The following is an 18,861-nucleotide window of genomic DNA, read 5'->3' as shown; positions in this document are numbered from 1 at the left end:
GATTGCTGTCCAGTGCCTGAAAATAGTTGTTTTAGATATTTTGTGCTGTTTACATAGTTGTTTATGGCTAGAATTGAAAGCCCTCTTTCATATTCTTTTTATCAACTTAGATATCACTTCCTCTGAGAAACTTTCTCTGACTATCCCTTCCCATCACTACATAAGCTGCCCCCATAGAATTCTGTGTTTCTCTTTTCATAGCACTTATCAAATTGAATAGTAATTGCCTGTATCATTATCTTACTTCCTGAAATCAGCGGTATAATTCCTGGTGTTTAGTAGGTGCTCAAAGAACTTACTTTGACAGACTGAATTAAGGATTTGAGCCTCTTTCAACCAGCCCAGACATAAGATGCATGACATCCATATTGTTTACATGGTATGAAAGGTTAAAAATTAAGTTGAACTGACTTTTCCAAGACAGAATTTATTTTGACCAATATTTGTTTATTAGGCATCTGTTAATGAATTTTACTAGACTCGGCAAAATATTGGTATGAGTAAAACGTGGTTTCACTCTCAAATAAGTCACAGACCAGTTAGGGAGGCAACATTAATACCCTTGAAATAATTTAAAACCAATGCAAGTCAAATATGACCTGGTATTAATTACATGCATCTTTGAGGCTACTTTCTCCATGAAGGCTTTCTGAATCCTTTTCCTAGCCTAAAATGACCTTACCCTCCCCAAGCCTTTTCTGTGATAACACATATCACTTCCCACTTTTTGTTGGAGTCACTGAGGCCCATGGCCCATCTCCCCTGTTGGACACCAGCTTCATCTCCCTGCAGCCCAAGAGCAGCCAACACAGCATCATCTTCACAGCAGAAACCCAGCCAGACTCTGAAAGGAGAAATCACTGTGCCTGGGGTCTCTGGAAATGCTCCATGGAAGAGGGCAGTTGAACATGATCTTGGAGGTTGGGCATAGAAGAGCAGAAAGATATGACAGAACCAACTCCTGGTAGCTTTTGCTTATCTGAGTGCAGCCTGGAGCATTGTGGGAGAGAAATGGTGCCCCAGGTGGGCAGGGTCCCACCCATTGCAGCCACTGGACCTGAGCATGTTACTGCCACAGCCGAGCTGAGAGAAACAGAGAGGGTGGCCTTGGGGACCCCGAGAGCTGAGCCCCCTCCAGAATGGACAGGAGCACACTGGGCCTTTCTAGAATCTCTGTTCCCACTTGTGTGGATCCCACCACAAATCCTACTTGGCTTTCCCCTCCCTGCTTCCTCTTCTGGCCCCATCTTCTCTGTCGTATGGGCAGCATTCCAAGAATTTGATTCAGACCTAGGACCCTATGGGTGTTGATCCTAGAAAGGAGAGGTTGATGCCAGTGTCATTTAGGAGACATTGGCTGACTATTAAGCATGACCCCAGTGGGATGTATTGATTCAGCTCTGTGCCAGGGTGAACCTCAAAGGAAGGACAGGAGCAAAGGTTTGAAGTGCGAAGCCTCTGCCACGTGGAAGAAGAACCTTGGGAGAACCTCTGCCAACCTTCCCGAACCTCTATTTGCCCATGTGTAAAATAGGAATGAGCATACCTGTCCCAGGGAGCTAGGCAGGATCAAAGAATACCCAAAACACGATTATATTTTGTAATCAGTAAAACAGGAAACGAGGATTGAGTCACTGCAGGCCACTGCTGACTTGATTGAGAGGCTCCCTCTGACCCAGGCTCTTCCTGCCTCTGTGGTATGGACCTGGCTTCCGACACCTCAGGCAGAGCTTGCGTGCCTTGGTCTGCATCTCCTGGGGCTGTGGGGGAGGCCAGGAAGCTGCATGTTTGAAAGAGTTTCCCAGGGGACTCTAGCAGGGAGACTGTAACCCCCCAAGGATCCGCTGTTTCCACTGAGCATGTAAGACAGATTCCAGTGAGAAAGAACATCACTCCCCAGCCCCGGCCCCCAAATCCAGGTCCCAGCATTGCCCCCAGGGAAGAATCCACCGCTGACTCCCACCTCAGGCACCAGTGAGATATGCCCCGTTTACCAGCCGTAAGCCTCCTTGAACGTCAAGGGCCCGCAGTAAACAGTTGGAGGATAAGAGGGCAGACCTGGTGGGGCAGTCACTTTATTTTCTTAACATTTCTCCTTCTTCCCACCTCACTCACAACTCAGAGCTCAAACTCAGCAAAGCTGACCATACACCAACGCTTCAGACATCCTGAACAGTTTTCCACATCCCCTGGTTCTAGCAACAATAACAACACTCGCAGACACACAAAAAGGAAAGAGAAAACAAATTCCTCTTGGGCTGAGTGTTCTCTGCCCCTGCTTTTTAAGCCCTTGTGTATTTTCAGAGAAATTTAATCCACATGACTATCGCATTTACATTGAAATTATTAATTCCGTGGGTTTTAAGACCATTTGATGTCCCAGCAGCTCCAATGCAGGGCTTGCAGAGGGCCTCTCTGAGCCTTTGGTCCCCTGAAGCAGGAAGCCTCCTGATGCTGAGAAAAAACAGAGCTGGGCCTCACAAGTATCCCATTTTTCACTGAAGCTCTCACCCCTGGAGAGGAGAGAAGAGAAGCCTCAGCTCTCAGCAAGGCAGAACGTTTCTCCTCCTCTCCATGAGGGCGCCAGGGAGCAGAAGACTGCCAGTCCCCAGTGAGCTCCAAAAGGGGACTCTCTAGGGACATGGTGAGCTTTAAGATCAAGAGACCATGGTGAATTCCCTGGGTACAGGTGTACAGACAGGAGCAACTTGTAGGGGAAGTAGATTTGTCCCCATTTTACAGGCAAAGCAACTGAGACTCCAAATGATGACATAATTAATAAGTGTCAGAGGTAGAGGCAAGACTGGAGCCCAGATCTCTCTAGTCCCTCTGCCTCAGGGCAGGAGCCTGGTGAGCCCCAAGGGGACACAGAACAGAAGCAGCCTCTGCCCCAGGGCTGCCATGCTCCTCCCCAGACACGCTGCTGGCCCCATGAGAGCGAGGCTGTGGTGTCCACAGGGCCCAGCACTAAGTGTATTTGCATAAGTGGGTTGGTGGGAGATCAAGTGCTGCCCAACCTGGAACAGAAGGCGTATGTTCACAGAACCCCGATCTCAGATGAATCCCAAAGGAGGGACACACAAAAAGGATCTCAGGTGTTCATGGGAGAGAGAGTTAATTTCCAACAGCATGAGGCTGTGGGGGTGGAGGGAATTGAGAGCGGATTGTGAAGGAGGAGGCTTCCAGGTGGATAGGATTCCAATGTTCAGAGTACACATGGGTGAGAGGAGTACAGCAGATGGAGGGGACAGCATGGGAAAGAGTACAGAGATGGAGGGGACAGCATGGGAAAGAGTACAGAGATGGAAAAGAAGAAACTGTGTTTAGAGAAAGGACGCCATCCCATGTGGCTGGAGGAGAAGGTACAAAAAGCAGAGAAGTAAGGCCAAAAGCTGGGAGAGTGATGATCCTACCATGGAGTTCCTAAATAGCAGAGTGAAGAGACTGTACTTGGGAGGCAATAGGGAGCCACTGGAGGTTTTAGAGCAGGAGAGTGGCTCACCAGAGTTATAATTTTGGTGATCAATTTGGCTACCATGTGGAGGATGGAATCGAGGGAGGAGACCCTGGAGGTGAGGAGTCAAGTGGGAAGGCTGTAGAAGTCTAGGTGAGCAAAGAGGATGCTCAAGCTAAGGGGTGGGGGCTTGAGAAAGGGGCATGCTTTATGAGCAGCAGTAATTCATTCATTCATTCCATTAATACTTCTTGAGTACCTGTAATGGGTTCTGGAAACTCAATGGTGAATAGAATTGCAAGGTCTCTGCTCTGATGGAGTTTTTCTTCTGGAGGGGCAAAAAGTATGATTAGTTTGTCCATCATCTGTCAGATAGTTATCTGTGCCATGGAAAAACATTAAGCAGGGTAAGTGGGCTTGGGAACAGTGGTTGAATTGAGGGCTCAACTTTATACAGGCTGTCTAGGATGCCGCCATGACAGGATGATAGTCATTAGAGACATGAGGGAAAGGAAGAATCTGAGAGAATCATGGTTATCTGAGAAGGAATTCCAGGCAGAAGGAATGACAAGTGCAAATGGCAAGTGAAGTAGGAGCATGCTTGAGATGTTCAAGGAACAGCAAGTGTGGCTGGAGTAGAGTGAGCTAGGGCAAGAGCAGAAGGAGGCAAGTTCAGAGATGCAAGAGGCTGCAGGATGATTGAGGACATATCTTGCTGACTAGGAAGATTGTGGTATCCTTTACACAAAAGCAAAATCCAGCAACAGGGTGCAGGCTTTGGAAGTTCAGGTGAGCTGAGCTTTGGACTCATTGGTTTGGAGGATCCAAGGGCCATCCAGGTGCAGGGGAGGGGGCCTTCAGTTTGGCAGGGAAATTAGGGCTGAGACCCACATGTGCATCAGGAGAGCTCCATTCAGCAGGGAGAAGGAAGCGGGGCTTGGGATGAACGACAGACTGCAGAACGTCCATAGGTATGAGGAGGAAGGAGAAAGAGAAGGCGGAGAGAGAAGGGTCAGAGGAGGTGCTGTGTCCGGGGGCAGAAGAGGAGAGGATTGTGAGGAAGACGAAGGTGGGTGCAGCATCGTAAGGACTTCCAGCTCTAGGAGGGAAAGCAGCAGCCAGGAGTGCCTCTCCTAGAAGCAGCTGAAGGGGCCGGGCTGGGCAGCTCACAGCACTGGGCAGCCTCTACCAGGATTGGAGCCCAGCGGATGTAAGGGAATGTTTATAATATACATTAACACACACAGAAAATCTCCAGTCTCTGCAAGGCTTTACTGTCATGTGTGTCATGTGTAAAGAGTCTGGAATGAACTACTGTCCAGCAATGACTCTCAAACCTTAGCGTGCATCCCTGGAACGCTTGCTAAATCGGATTGCTGGAACCCACCTCCAGAGTTTCTGATTCAGTAGGTCTGAGTGAGGCCTGGGAATGTGCTTTTCTAGAACTTCCCAGGTGGTGCTGGTGCTGCTGGTCTGGGAAGCACACTCTGAGAACCACACACTTAGCGGTTGCCATTCCCAGTGTCTTAAGCTGGTTACAGCAGGCAGAGGCAGAATCACCGTGTAGATGCCTCCATCTGTGGGGCCAGGGAGAGCCCAGAGACAGCGGAGATGGGGCTGGAGGTGAAGTGGGGAGGACAGAAGGTGCTATTTTTGAGGCGATCTGCTCACACTTCATTCTTGTAATGCACCCAGAGGCCCCTTCCCTCTCTCCCTCTTATCCTTTCCCCTACCTTCTTCTACTTTTCCATCCCTGTTCCTTCACTTTGCCAGATTTCTCACCTTACTTTCTCATCTTTTCTCCTCATTCTCCTCCCTTTCCCCCTCATCCCCTCCTCCCCCATCCCTTCTCGTTCTTCCTTCCCCTCTTTACTCCCTCGCCTGAGTCTCTGATAGACATGGGTGAGATAGGGGGTGAGGGGGCGGCCAAGGCGAAGGGAGGCTGCCCTGTCCCACCTCTCCCTGCTTCTCTCAGCAGCTGCCAGTGTCTTTAGTCTCATCAGCCTGTCTTGTACCCACGAGAGGAGGGAAGGATAAAGAGCCCCATCCAGGCTCCCAGCACCCACCTGCAGCAGTGGGCCTGCAGACTCCCAAGGCTGGGCAAGGAGAGTGTGCACAGAGAAGGGTACAAGAGCAGCCAGAGGGAGGGTCCCTGGACCAGGAGAAAAAGGAGAAAGGGGATCCTGGTGGAGCAGGAGAGAAAGGAAGTTGGGAGATGGGCTGCCCCCTGCAGAACTGACCGGAGCCTCGGTTTCCTGAATCCTGGGGTGTCCTAATGGGAAATAGAAGCTTCTCTTGGGAAAAAGGGAGCATTTTAAGCCTCACTCTCATCGCCCTCAGCCATGGAGGGACAGACATGGTGGCCTGACTCCCCAGAGTCACAAAGGGTCCTGGGCAGCCTTCCCGCCTCTTTGAAGGATCCTCTGGGATTATTTTGCAGCAACTTAACTCTGCACTGTGTGGCCAGACATGGAAAGGGCTGTGGAATTGGGTGTCCTGAGGATGGACTGCGAGGCAGTAGGGAGGGAGACCCAGCAGCTTGCCTGGCTTAGAAGCAAATCATCCACCATGGCCAAGTGCAGATCCTGCCAACACCCACCATCACCACTACCACTACCACCCCCAAAGCTTGGCATGACACAGCAGATGGGCAGCCATGGCCCCTGAAGTGGACCAGGGCTGGAATGGACCTACCTGGCATAGGTTGATCAGGTTAATACCCATCTCTCCTTGGGGACCTCTCTATAGATACAGTGTCTTCTACTTGTGGAGACTCCAGGCAGAGGGGAGAGCCCCATAACCTGAAGACAGGGCCACCATTCCCATGATCTTCAGAAGACCCCAATTCTCAGAGATGATGGTGGGCTGGGGAGGGACAGAATGGCTGGAGACAGGCCCAGGAGGCGCAGGTGGACCACTCAGGCCTGTGGGTGGGGTTGGCCTTTAGGGCTGCTCCGTCAGCTGCAGCTCCTCCCCAGGCCTGGGAGGGGTCTGAGAAATCATTTGCCCCAGCCTCATGATTTTACAGATGGGGGCACTGAGGCCCAGAGGTAGAAAGAGACCAGACCAAGGTCACACAGCAAGTCAGTTTGAGGGCCGGGACTGAAACCTAGTCTCCCAGCCCCCAGCCCAGAGTTGCTTCCATTTCTGCAGCATTTCCACCGGGAATAACAAGCACTTAGGCGAAAACTACCCAAGGGTCAGTTCACCCACCATCGCAGATCTCATGTCTCAAGACTTTGTAGATGATATTTACCCAAACTAAATTCTAGTTGGGCTAAGGCATCCATCCTTTTACAGTGGGTTTAGGTACTGACCTTCCCAGATAACAAATTTGCATTTTCACTAGGGTCTTCCATGTCTAAAACCAGAGGCCAACTATGGTGGAATTTGGGTTGACTGCAAAGGCAATCCCTGAAGAGTAAATCCACAAAACCAGCCGTGGAGCCTAGGCCCAAGAGTGTTGCCCTCTGGCACTGCCACTTCCTCCTCTCCCAACCCAGAGGTTTCCCAGCTCCCATTGCAGTCCTTTCCCACAGGCATAGAGTGCTGTCTCGGGGCACACACAGGCCTTCTGCCTCAGCAGAGGCAGCAAAGGCATGTCCGAGTAGCTCCTCACTACAGGGAGAATCTAGGCTTCGAAATCACAGAACTGAGCTCCCTTCCCAGCTTGGCTACTTTCCAAGCAATGGAAACTCAAGCACATCACATCCACTTTCTGGATCACAGTTTCTTCATCTGTAAAATGGGTATGGTGATGTGAATCCCAAAGGGTTCTTATGAGGAAGAAATAGGAGATGGTGTTTAAGTGTCTACCATGGGGCAGAGGCTGAATGAGTGAGTTCCCTACACTGGCCTATGCCCTGGAGAAAGGGTATGGTGTCCAGGGACAGGTTTTGAGGAAAGGGCCTCTGGGGCTTGTTGTTTGAGCAGAAAGATGCATCTTACACAAGTCTGCCCTTTTTCATCAGTGACAGTGCAGGCTGCCAGGCCTGGGGCAGCCTTGGTTGTTGCTGTGGAAGCCTTTCTGAGCAACATCCTTTGCTCTTTTCCTGGCCTGGGCCCCCAGAACAGGCTCCCAACACCACAGCACATAAACGCTCTCCGCTATTTTCTCTTGGAACAAATAAAATCCGGCATCATGACTCATTCTGGTTAAAGGATAAGTCACTACAGAAGCGAAGCCCAGGATAGGATGAACCACCCAGTGCACGAGAGATAGAGGGAGAGATAGAGAGGGAGAGAGGAAAAACTGTATTCGTGGGGAAACGTTGGCCCAGGGCCCCAGGCCAAGCCACCCAGCAGACCTTGGCAGGCACACACAGACAAGAAGAAAATGAGCTGCAGAGGGCTGGGAGAGTGGAAATCCAGACATTCGTCCTCACTGGCAGGAGCTGGGGCATCTTCAGGCCCTCAAATGCACAAAGCAGCAGTGAGAATGACCAAGGAGAGCACAGCAGCCCCAGAACCAAGAGCGAAGTCTGGGGCACTGTGGATTTAGGATGTGGCCTGCAGACAGCTCCTAAGGTTCCTTGCATCTCTTGGGTGATTTTTTTTCCTCTTCTCTCCTTGCTTTTTCATTCTGTCTCCTTTTTTTTTTTTTTTAATGCCAAACCACACAAGAAAGTCCCAGAAATTGAAGAGATGTCAGTGAGGGTCCAGGAAACTTCTGACACACACACAAACTGGTCAACCAGAGATGGAGCTAATCTCAGCTCCACCCTCTAAGGCCTCTAAGGCCAGTCCTCAGGGCCATAGAACGTCCTTAGTGCTGAACTCGGAAAGGCAGGAGTTCAGCCATTGCATGCTTTTAGAGGTAAGACGCACAATCTCGGTAGTGAAAATATTGAAAAGAAAGTCTCCTTGTTACTAACTTCCAAGAAAGAAAATAAATTTAACGTGGGCAGTTCAGGAAAGCCAGAGGGGTTTGCCAACTCAGCATCTTTGCCACCCGTCTCTTCCCACTCCCCCACCAGCCTCCCCCTACAGCAGCCTGTGGGCTCCCCACAACCTCCTTTCCATTTCTGCAGCCAACACCATTTGTTCTGCGATGCCAACATCCTTCCTAAGTCCAGTGAAGGAGAGGAAATGGGAGCTTTCCACATGAGGTGGAGAATAAAGAAATGTTGAAATTCCCTGTATCTTGAGAGTGGCTTTCTATAACTTCATAGGTTTGAATTTTCAAGGCTGGTACTGTTTTTAATTGCTCCTTGGCACTTTATGTGCAATGATCATAACTGACACTAGGGGGTGCAAGATAGCCCTCCAATGGCTCCTCTAGTCAACCATTGAGGCTTCCTGTAGATATCACTCAGGGTAGCATGTGCTTCCATTCAGTTAGGCTATAAAATGTGAAAAACAGAATTTCTTATTGAAAACCACAAGGTGCAATGTGCATGTTTTAAGGTTATATACAATTAGAAAAACAAATGAAGGTGCCATAAATGCCTTTTCTCACTAATTTTAACTATAATTAATCACTATCTAACCCTTGTTTTCTGCAGGCTTGGATAAAATACCTCTTTCTAACTTTCTCTGACTCCTTCATGAGGAATCAAGGGCTCCTTGGGATTTCTCTTTTTTTTTTTTTCTTTTTTTTGAGGCAGAGCCTCGCTCTGTCGACCAGGCTGGAGTGCGGTGGCATGATCTCGGCTCACTGTAAGCTCTGCCTCCCGAGTTCACGCCATTCTCCTCCCTCAGCCTCCCGACTAGCTGGGACTACAGGTGCCCGCCACCACGCCCGGCTAATCTTTTGTATTTTTAGTAGAGGTGGAGTTTCACTGTGTTAGCCAGGATGGTCTCAATCTCCTGACCTTGTGATCCGCCTGCCTCGGCCTCCAAAAGTGCTGAGATTACAGGCGTGAGCCACCACGCCTGGCTGCTCCTTGGGATTTCAAACTCTTTCAAATAGCTTTTCTTTTTCAGTGCCTTCTCTTCCAAGCAACCACAAAACTCAGACACATAACCAATAGCAAGATGCTTGTTATCAACCTGAGGCCATCTTGACAAGGTTTCTGTCATCTTCTGTTGAATTCCTGCTTTCCCTCTTGAATCTTTTCTTCCTGGTTTATCTGTGATGAGTCACCTTGAGACAATAATGTAGACAGACATGGAAAGAGAGTTGTAGAAAAAGCCAATCAAGAAAAATGGAAACTGGAATGGGAAAAGGAAAGAAGAAAGATGAGATGGAAAATAAAATGCCAACAAGAGAGAAGAGAGGGAAGGGAGGCTGTGAACCCCCAAGGGTAGGGCTTGCCTTTATTCATCTTGGCCTCTTCAGGGGTTGGCATAGGCCCACAGATGGTGAAGAAGAAAGGGAGGGAGAGAATGGTTCCAGACGTCTGGATGTGACCCAAGGTAAATCTTGGGGAAGCCCAAAGCTGGATGTCCTTGTGTTAAAGGGTCTGGAGACCATGGCCCCTGGATGGGAGAAGTTGAGATTTCTTATTTTTTTTAATTTTCCTTGCAAAGTTTGGAAGGGCCCCGCTAAAGTGAACTCAGGCAGGAGACCAGGTGAGTGGTGGCTGGTGGCCCGGCCCAGCTCCGGGATGGCTCACCCTGTGACAGCAGATCCTCTCTGCAATTTCTCTTCTGCCACTTTCCAACTGCCGAGCCAATGATTTTATAACCCAGGAGGAGGACATTTCCAAAAATGTAATGACACACTTCACCCTCCAATGAAGCTAGCCCACAGCCTTTTTGTTTCTTTATGGCTTCTTGAAATAAGAATAAGTCTATAAGAATGACTATTTGTCACAACACAAAGGGAGAGGAGAAAAGTAAATCTGAGCTTTGAACCAGACAGAAAAGACTTCGAAGCAGTCCATGTAAACAATGATTCCCTAATGCAACCCAAGGCCGGCTTCTGTGTCCTCTGCGCTCCTGCACTCCATCCACCTCCCAGAGGTGGGGCGAGGCCTGGGTAGGAGAGTGAGGCCGAAGAGCTGCCCCTTAACTAGCTGGGTGACTTCGCCTCTCTGTGCTGTAGTTTCCTCAGCTTCAAAATTGGAATGTAGCTGGGTGCGGTGGCTCACGTCTATAATCCCAGCACTTTGGGAGGCCAAGGTGGGCAAATCACCTGAGGTCAGAAGTTCAAGACCAGCCTGGCCAACATGGCAAAACCCCATCTCTACTAAAAATACAAAATTTAGTTGGGCATGGCAGTGAGCGCCTATAATCCCAGCTACTCGGGAGGCTGAGGCAGGAGAATCGCTTGAGCCCGGGAGGTGGAGGTTGCAGTGAGCCAAGATGATGCCACTGCACTTCAGCCTGGGCAACAGAGCAAGACTCTGTCTCAAAAAAAAAAAAAATTGGAATGCTGTCTCTGCCTCAGGATTGAGAAGATTAGGTCAAAGTCAGGGATACCTGTAGCGCAATCCCTGGTACCTAATAAACTCCCCCCAGAATATTCATTCATGCATCCATTTATTTGTTTATTCATATAAAGTGCTTTGAATGGAGAGGCACACATGTCCCACTGTTTATTTCTTGGTTGGGCATCCTGTCCTCTATTCCCGTATTATCTGTTTTCCATCATCTTAAAGCCTGGTGATCACCTGATAAAATAATCCAGGGGTTCCCAAAGCTGGCCACAAAACAGAATCACCTGTGAAAGGTCAAAAAGAATACAGATATCTCAGTCAAGTCCAAGAATTACAAAGACAGACCCTCTAGAGGTGGTGCCTGGTAATCCCTATTTTCAAAATCCCCAGGTGAGTCTAATGCCCAGCCAGGTGCTGGAATCACTGACTTAATTTTTTCTAAGAGGTCTGTGAGTTCCCATGGATCCATAGGTTAACTCCGTTCCAGGCTTACACTGAGAGTGGCCCTCAGTGCCTGAATCCAAAGAGGGATGACCAATGGCAAGAAGTTAAGAACCCCAGAAAGCAGGTAGGGGCAACCTGACTGGGTGACAATGCTGTGCTTGTCAGTCATGTAGGCATCCAACCGTCTGTCTGTACTTAGGACCACTTTAAGTAGAGTTCTCTGGACAAGTGAGGCAAGAAGGGAGAGGACTTGGAAAGTCAGAAGGGAGGAACAGGGATGAACCTGTTGAGGATGACTCTGCCACAAGCTCCATGAAGGCAGGGAATTGTCTGTCCCTCCAGATCCCACCTCAGGCCCAGCCTTCATCATGGAAGGCAGCATAGAAATAATGCACATGAGCGCCGGCACCATGCGGGACCCTCCCTGTGAGCCCCAGCCCTTTTTCACCTGAGTGACACCTATTCATTATGCAAGCCTCTGTCCAGGAGTTGCCCCCTCCAGGAAGGCTCCCCAGACAGCAGAGCAAGAACCCTTCCTCTGTGCCCTGCCACACCTGGAGACCCCTCTTGCGGCATGTTCTCCACACTAAATTCATCGGGTATAAGTCTCCCTGCCCTCACTGGGCTAGGGGTTAGGCTGTGCTTCATTCATCTTTATGTTCACAGAGCCCAGCACATAGCAAGTGCTCATTAATTATTTCTTTGAACAGAATGTGTCCAAGTCCCTCATTTTACAGATGGGGAAACTGAGGCTCAGAGATGGCAGGTGACTCACCGTGGGTCACTTAGCCCATCTGGGGATAGGTTAGAGATAGCCATGAACATGTCAACAGGCCCACGAACAAGAAAAGAGTATCTGTCCTTTCACCTCCAGGCCATCTCCTTTTTCTGCGTTACCCAAATCCCTGTGGCTGGTAGACACAGCTGGAAGAATGAGGGTACCAGTTGTGCCTCAGCCTCTACCTGACCACGTGATTTGGGGCCAATCCTGACATTCTCTGGGCCTTGCTTTCTTCCCCAGTCTAATGGGAATATCTTCCTTGCTGGACCACCTGCCTGGCCATGGTTTGCTGGAGACAGTTGGGTGTGTACACCTCACTGGCCACATTTAAAGAGTCACCATCCTATTTATGAGCCAAAGCAAGCACACCAGCCCAGATCAGAGAGCAGGAAATGCTTAGGCCCCTTTCCTTCCTACCATGCAATGGCTGAGAAGCTGTCAGACCTACACATACCAGAAATTAAAGCTGTACATTCTGCTGAGAAACATCTGTCCAAACTATTGCTGTGTTTATGTTTCATTTTTGGAGGAGAAAGCTGCTATAAAGTGGAAAGAAAAAAACCTCTGAGCATGACTTGGAAAAATAAGCAAGGGTTTGTCAGGCATCTTGCAAAGAGATGGGAGAGGGGTTACATTGCATGTCCAGCCTCTCTGCGGGGAGAACAGACCACAGCCACCTTCCTGAGAGAGCTGGGCCAAGGGCTCACCAAGGCTGGTTGTCCACCTGCAGATGGGACCCAGAAGAGTTCGGCCCAGCTGTGCTGCCAGTTACACCCCAAGAAGCAAAGTGAAGATGCAGCTTGTCTTTGCAAAATGAGCAGCTTCCTCTATCTGTCTATTCATGTGTTCACTCAACAAACAGTGATTGAGCCTTGACTGTGTGCAAGGTATTTGACCAGCGCTGGGGGGAGATTTGAAGATGGATCAGGGTCTCTCTCTCTCTGCTATCTACAGGCAAATTATCTAGAGGAGATAAAAGACACAAACAATAAAGGTATAGACAAAGCTTCATAGGAATTGAAGGAGCTTTCAGCTAAGAGATCAAGGAAGGCTTCCTGGAGGAAGAGGCACTGAAGGGTGGATGGAATGGGGATAGACTGAGAGTTTGGGATGAGGAGACTGCTCATGCAGAGGTGGGAAGGAGAGAGTGCAGGCAATGTTGAGAAACGGATAGACGAGCAGCCGCGTGTGACTGGCACTGGGGTGTGAGATGGGGAGGGGTGCTGAAGATTGACACTCGAATGTCAGACACTGTAAATGGCACAAGTTGGCTACTTTTATTCCGCATAGTCAGTGGCTGAGGTTCTCATTTTCCCTCCAGATGGGTTGAGAACTTCCTTTGCAGTCACCTTCCCTCACTCTTCCCTCTTCTCTTCTAAGAACTTCTGCAACTTAGGAAGGAAGCACTGTTTGGATGTCAGCTGAGGTGGACCTAAAAGTTGTCAAGTGCAAACCAGAGACCCAAATGTTGATTATGAAGTTGACGTTTGTGATGATACTTGTCAACAGGTGTGTGCCCAAGCTGAAAGGGGCCGCCTCTATGTCCAGCCATCAGGGTAGCCTGTAGGCTTTGTATCTACCGACTTCATGACTACCCATAGCTACTTATGTGTGGAGGCCTTTTATTTATTAGTATTGATAAAAGATATGCAATAGAAATTTATTTATTTATTTATTTTGGAGACAGGATCTCTCTCTGTCACCCAGGCTACAGTGCAGTGGCATGATCATAGCTTACTGCAGCCTTGACCTCCTGGACTCAAGTGACCCTCTTGCCTCAGCCTCTTGAGTAGCTGGGACTACAGGCACATGCCACCATACCTGGATAATTTTTTATTTTTTTATAGATGGGGTCTTGCTATGTTGCCCAGGCTGCTCTTGAACTCCTGGTCTCAATTGATGCTCCTGCCTCACCTTCCCTAGTAGCTGGGATTATAGACATGTGCCACCATGCCCAGCTTCAAGAAAAATTGTTCAAAGCACCTGAACGTCTATCAGTAGAAAAAGGGATGAAACTATTTATTTCAGTATCCCTGAACAGGAGAACGGTATAACACTGTGCAGCCACTATAAAGAATGAGGCAGAACTATATTATCTATCTATACCAGGCCCACCTCTAACATCTGAGGGGCCTGAGGCAAGAAAGTAAACAGAGGCTCTGGCCCACGGCCTGCCATCTTTTCTTCCCACCGCTGGTTCTCTCTCAATAATTGGGGGACATTACACATGTAGACACTCCAGCCTGCACACCCAAGCTCTCTCTACAGCCCTGCAAATGGCCACTCCTTGGCTACTACCATCAGAAGTATGCTTCTCTATCAGAAAGGCAGGTCTAGAGGAGAGGCCTGCACAGGCCCTGGACTCAGGCCTAGGCTATTTGGGCAGGAGATTCCAGCATCCCAGCCACCCAGAGTGGGAGGACAGTGGCTCCAGGTGTCCTGTCCCCTTGACCCCTAGGACTCCTCACCCCATAGGAAGGGGCACAGCTAGAGAAGGGTTGGAGTGGAACCAAGAGCAGGAGCCCTAGTCACACAGTCCAACGGGGGCATTGATAGATATTAACACAGAAATATGTCCACATACAAAATAATTAAATGGAAAAAGCATGTTACACAACCACATATGTAGAGTGATTCCAGTTTTTAAATTCTGGATGTCCTCTAGATTGTCTGCATCCCTGCTGCTATAGTAGTTTCCTATAGAAGGCTGGATTGAGAAGGGGAAGGAGAAGGCTTTCAAGTTTTACTTCGGGCCAGGCGCAGTGGCTCACGCCTGTAATCCCAGCACCTTGGGAGGCTGAGGAGGGCAGATCACCTGAGGTCAGGAGTTTGAGACCAGCCTGGCCAAATGGTGAAACCCTGTCTCTACTAATAATACAAAAATTAGCCAGGCATTGTGGCGCATGCCTGTAATCCCAGCTACTCGGGAGGCTGAGGCAGGAGAATTGCTTGAACCCAGCGGGGTGGAGGTTGCAGTGAGCTGAGATCCCACCACTGCACTCCAGCCGGGGCAACAGAGCGATACTCTGTCTCAAAAAAACAAAACAAAAGTATTAGTTTGCACAGTTCTGCAACATGAACACTAGATAACAAATGTGTATTTTACCTTTAATACACAAAGAATCACAGTTTTTAAATAAGTGAATTTTTTGAACCAATTAAAGGATTATTTATTACATATTTTCTTATGACCGAAAGAAGTAAAACAAATTTTTCAAAAATAAATAGATAAAATCAATCTGGGTGCGCTAGATGGTCAGAGATGGCTGTGGTCATGATCCCCAGATACAGTGAAAGTTCCCAGGGTAGAAGTGCTGCTTTACTTGGCCAGAGGGCCTCCTACCTGCTTCCTTAGCAGATCCTTCAAACAGGGCTTCCCATCCTGCCTGTACACCCCAGAGGATCTGCAGATTCCTGGGTCATGTCCCACACTGGCTGAGTCAGAACCTTCTGGAGGTGGGGTTCAGGAACCTGCATTTGTACCTCCCCTGGTGATCCTGATGACCAGCAAGTGTGGAAACCACTGCCCCTCAAAACCCTGAAGGGTGAGCAGACCAGGTATAATATTCAGTCCCTTTGGGTAGATGAGAACACTGAGGCCCAAGGCAGTTAATGACCTTGCCTTCCCCTGCCAGAGCTTGCTCTATTCATCCAGTTGGGTCAACCCATGTTGGAAGACAAAAGCAAGCAGCTGGCAGTCAGTGGTCCCAAGCTGCAGCCTACTGGGTCACAGGCATCCCACTAAGCCAGGTGATTCACCAGCTCATACAAAAACTGCATTTCAGGATCTACTCTGTGCCAGATGCTGTTCTGGGTGCTGGGATATTTGTGGCTGCCCACCTGACCAGCAAGATCCTAGCTCCCTTGGGGCTTAAATCCTATAGGGAAATAAGGACAATGAAAAGTTATTCAAAGAAGCCAACATCAGACACTACAAAGTACTTGAGGAATACAAGGCAAGTTGGTGAGAGAGGGGGTGACAGGTCTTCAGGAAAGGCCGCTTTGGGGAGCTGGCCTTGAAGATGAGCCCTAAATGATGGCTGAGAAGACCCGGCTGTGCACACAGTTTATAGCAGCCCAGGTGAAAAAAAAAAGAGAGGAGAACAATGAGGTGATCTAGAGCCTCAGAAGGCGTGGTGAAGAGGGTGGATTTTGTTGGCATGGATCTGGGGCTTTGAGCCCAGTGAGAGTCGCCATGCCTCTGTTTCCCCCATATAAACACTCCTCATGCTTCTCAAACTTAAGCATGCATCAGTGTCTCCTAGAGGGCTTGTGAAAACACAGACGCTGGGCCCCACCCCCAGTTTCAGCCTCTGTTGATGGTCTGGGGTAGGGTCCAGGGAGAATTCTCTTTCTCAAGGGAGGGTCAGTCATTTTGTTCTGTTCTGCCCTTCGACTGATTGGATGAGGCCCACCCACATTAGGAAGGGTGATTTGCTTTCCTTAGCCTACAGATCTAAGTGTTAATCTCATGCAAAAAACACCCTCACAGAAACACCCAGAATGACGTTTGGCCATATATCTAGGCACCCCGTGGCCCAGTCAAGTTGACACATAAAATTAATCATCATGTATATGTCCCTGTTTAAAATGCACACAAAGGTTTCCAGTGTCTGATAGGACTTTATGGAGGGAGAGTAAGGGATGTGCAAACAGAGGGGCTCTCGTTTCCCTAGCCCCCACGAGGCCAGGCCTCACCAGATGTGTGAGCCAAGGTGAACCACAAGCCCCTGCAGTCAGTCCAGGAAGACCTGCAGGTGCCAACTTCTCCCCTTGGGCAGGTCCTGGGCCAGATTCTCCATCTACACCCAACCCCCAGCCAGGGCAGCCCCGGGGTCCCCACTGGGCAGGCATTTGGACTTGCTGCTCTCAGCGCTTCCCCAGACCCATCTTGAACCCATTAGCCACCAAACTCACAGGGGCTGGAGGAGATTCCATTTTCCATGGAGAGAGAGGGAGAGAAAGGCCTCACTAAAGGAATAATCTCTCCTTTGTTCCCTCGAGCTCTCGGCTCCTCCAGTGAAACCCCTCCCTGATGCCCCTATCTGATTTCAGAAAAGGAAAATGGAGCCAGGAGAAAAAAGAGACAAAGGGACCATGTGGGTTTAAGGGAGCGGGGGCTGTGTTGAGAGAAAGGAACAGGTGAGGAAGGGAATGGGGTGAGAGAGGAGAGAGGTGAGAGGCTCCTGTGGGGAGAGGCCCTGCTGGCCCTAGAGAGGACAGGCCTCACTCCTCTCTGAGCACTGAGCCTTCCACTTCTTCACAATGAAAAAAAGAGCACAGGACGAGGAGTCCTGGCTGTGAAACTGATCAGTGTCTCTCTGCAGGCTCATCATACTTACATTCTGAGCCTCAGACACAAACTGCTCTGCCAGCCCCAAAGCTGTCCTGGAGATCAAAATCAAGTGCAATTAAATTGCATTGAAAGTGATTCATTCAAATGAAAAGGATAACCAATGATAATTGGATTTCCCGGGATGTGAGGTTGAGGCCTTGCAGAGGGAGGCTGTGAGGCCCATCAGGGAGGGGATTGAACCCACATTCTTCCCTTCCTGGGCAGTCCATGCCAGCCTCTGGTCTCAGGATCTCCTGCAGAGGCAAGCTCATCCTTGGAGGTTCCTTCTTCCTTCCCCTAGCATCCAGTGAGCTCAATTCATGGCCTTGGCTCATTTCATCTGCTGGGGAGCTAAGCTGCTCCTGCCTGCCTCAACAGACACAGCCTGTAAAAGCCTGACTGGGCCTAGAGCCCCAGCCCTTGCCTCTAGGCTTTCTGCCCTCCATGGCTTGGGGGAAGCACCACCCTAGGAGTCAGGACACCGTGTACTAGTCCAGCTCTGCCACTGCCTGTCTGAGGCCTCAGACACAGCACTTCTCTCCCTGGCCTTGGATCCCACATTTGAGGCTGGCCCAAGGAACCTGCATGTTTCCTCCCAGCTCTGATGTCTCGAGGCCTGTTCCCAGGTAACCAGAAACATCTGGAATGCAGGGTTCCCTGTCTAAGCAGCTGTTATATGTGGGATGCACACAGGACAAAAGGGTTTCTGTTGCCACAAGGCTAGGCCAGGGGAAAGTTTTATGCATTCAGTTAAACAACAAGAGAGAAATAATATACATGGTGCTGGTGATTCCACCCACCACTTACTCAGTAAGTCCAGGCCCCAGGTGGAGCATGAGCTAGGGGATATGAATCTGCTTCTCCCTCATTGGTCTTGGTTGCCATGTTTCTCTTATAGCATAATAACATATGGAATTTCTAAGAGTAATTTTAACTATGTGCACTTTTTTGCCTTGTACACTCTAAACATTAGGATGTTTTAAGTTATAAGTACCTAAAAACTCACAGACTTACTATGCAGTAAAAGGTAGTCATTGAGCCTATGTCTGAAAAGCCCAGTGGTAGTTAGGCTGCAGGTACAGTTTGATCCAGGGGTTCAAAGCATCAGCAGGACTTCAGCTCCTTCTCTTCATGCTTCTCTCAGCTCTCCCACTGTCAATGCATCAGCTCATAACCCTCATCATCACAAGGTGGCTGCCAACAGTTCCAGGCCTTGCATTCACTCACTACAGCATCCAGAGAAAAGAGACCACCCTGCTACCTGCATCCCAAGCACAAGTCTTGAGATTCACTTGATTGGGGAGATTTAAGTCTTTGTCCCACCCTGACTCAATCACTGCAGCTGGGGGATAAACTCTCCTAACCTGAGCTATGTGCTCCATCCCTGCAACTGGGAATAGAGTCAGAATCCCTGGATCCTCAAACAGAAATGAGTACTGTTGGGAAGGAGGAAATGGAAACCAGGGAAGCAGTCAACATTGACTTTAGCATGGAAGCTGGGTCACTCCATTGAACTCCTATGCAT

The 18,861-nt window shown here is 49.3% G+C and overlaps 1 protein-coding gene across 2 annotated transcripts in view, besides 1 other annotated feature; it reads left to right on the top strand.

Moving 5' to 3' along the window:
• The window catches only part of ITGA11 (integrin subunit alpha 11), a 135,632-nt gene that overhangs the window by 39,840 nt on the left and 76,931 nt on the right, over nucleotides 1-18,861 (top strand). The gene's annotated exons all lie outside the window — the stretch shown is intronic.
• Nucleotides 2,040-2,334: a silencer, noted in NCBI's record as "tiled region #14581; HepG2 Repressive non-DNase unmatched - State 22:ReprW". NCBI's record gives its function as "represses a minimal TATA promoter and a strong SV40 promoter by Sharpr-MPRA in HepG2 cells {active_cell/tissue: HepG2}" and the evidence as "EXISTENCE:reporter gene assay evidence [ECO:0000049][PMID:27701403]".

This window comes from Homo sapiens, chromosome 15, assembly GCF_000001405.40.
Source record: "Homo sapiens chromosome 15, GRCh38.p14 Primary Assembly".
Classification (NCBI taxonomy): Eukaryota; Metazoa; Chordata; class Mammalia; order Primates; family Hominidae; genus Homo; species Homo sapiens.
This window is presented reverse-complemented; position numbering and strand designations above follow the sequence as displayed.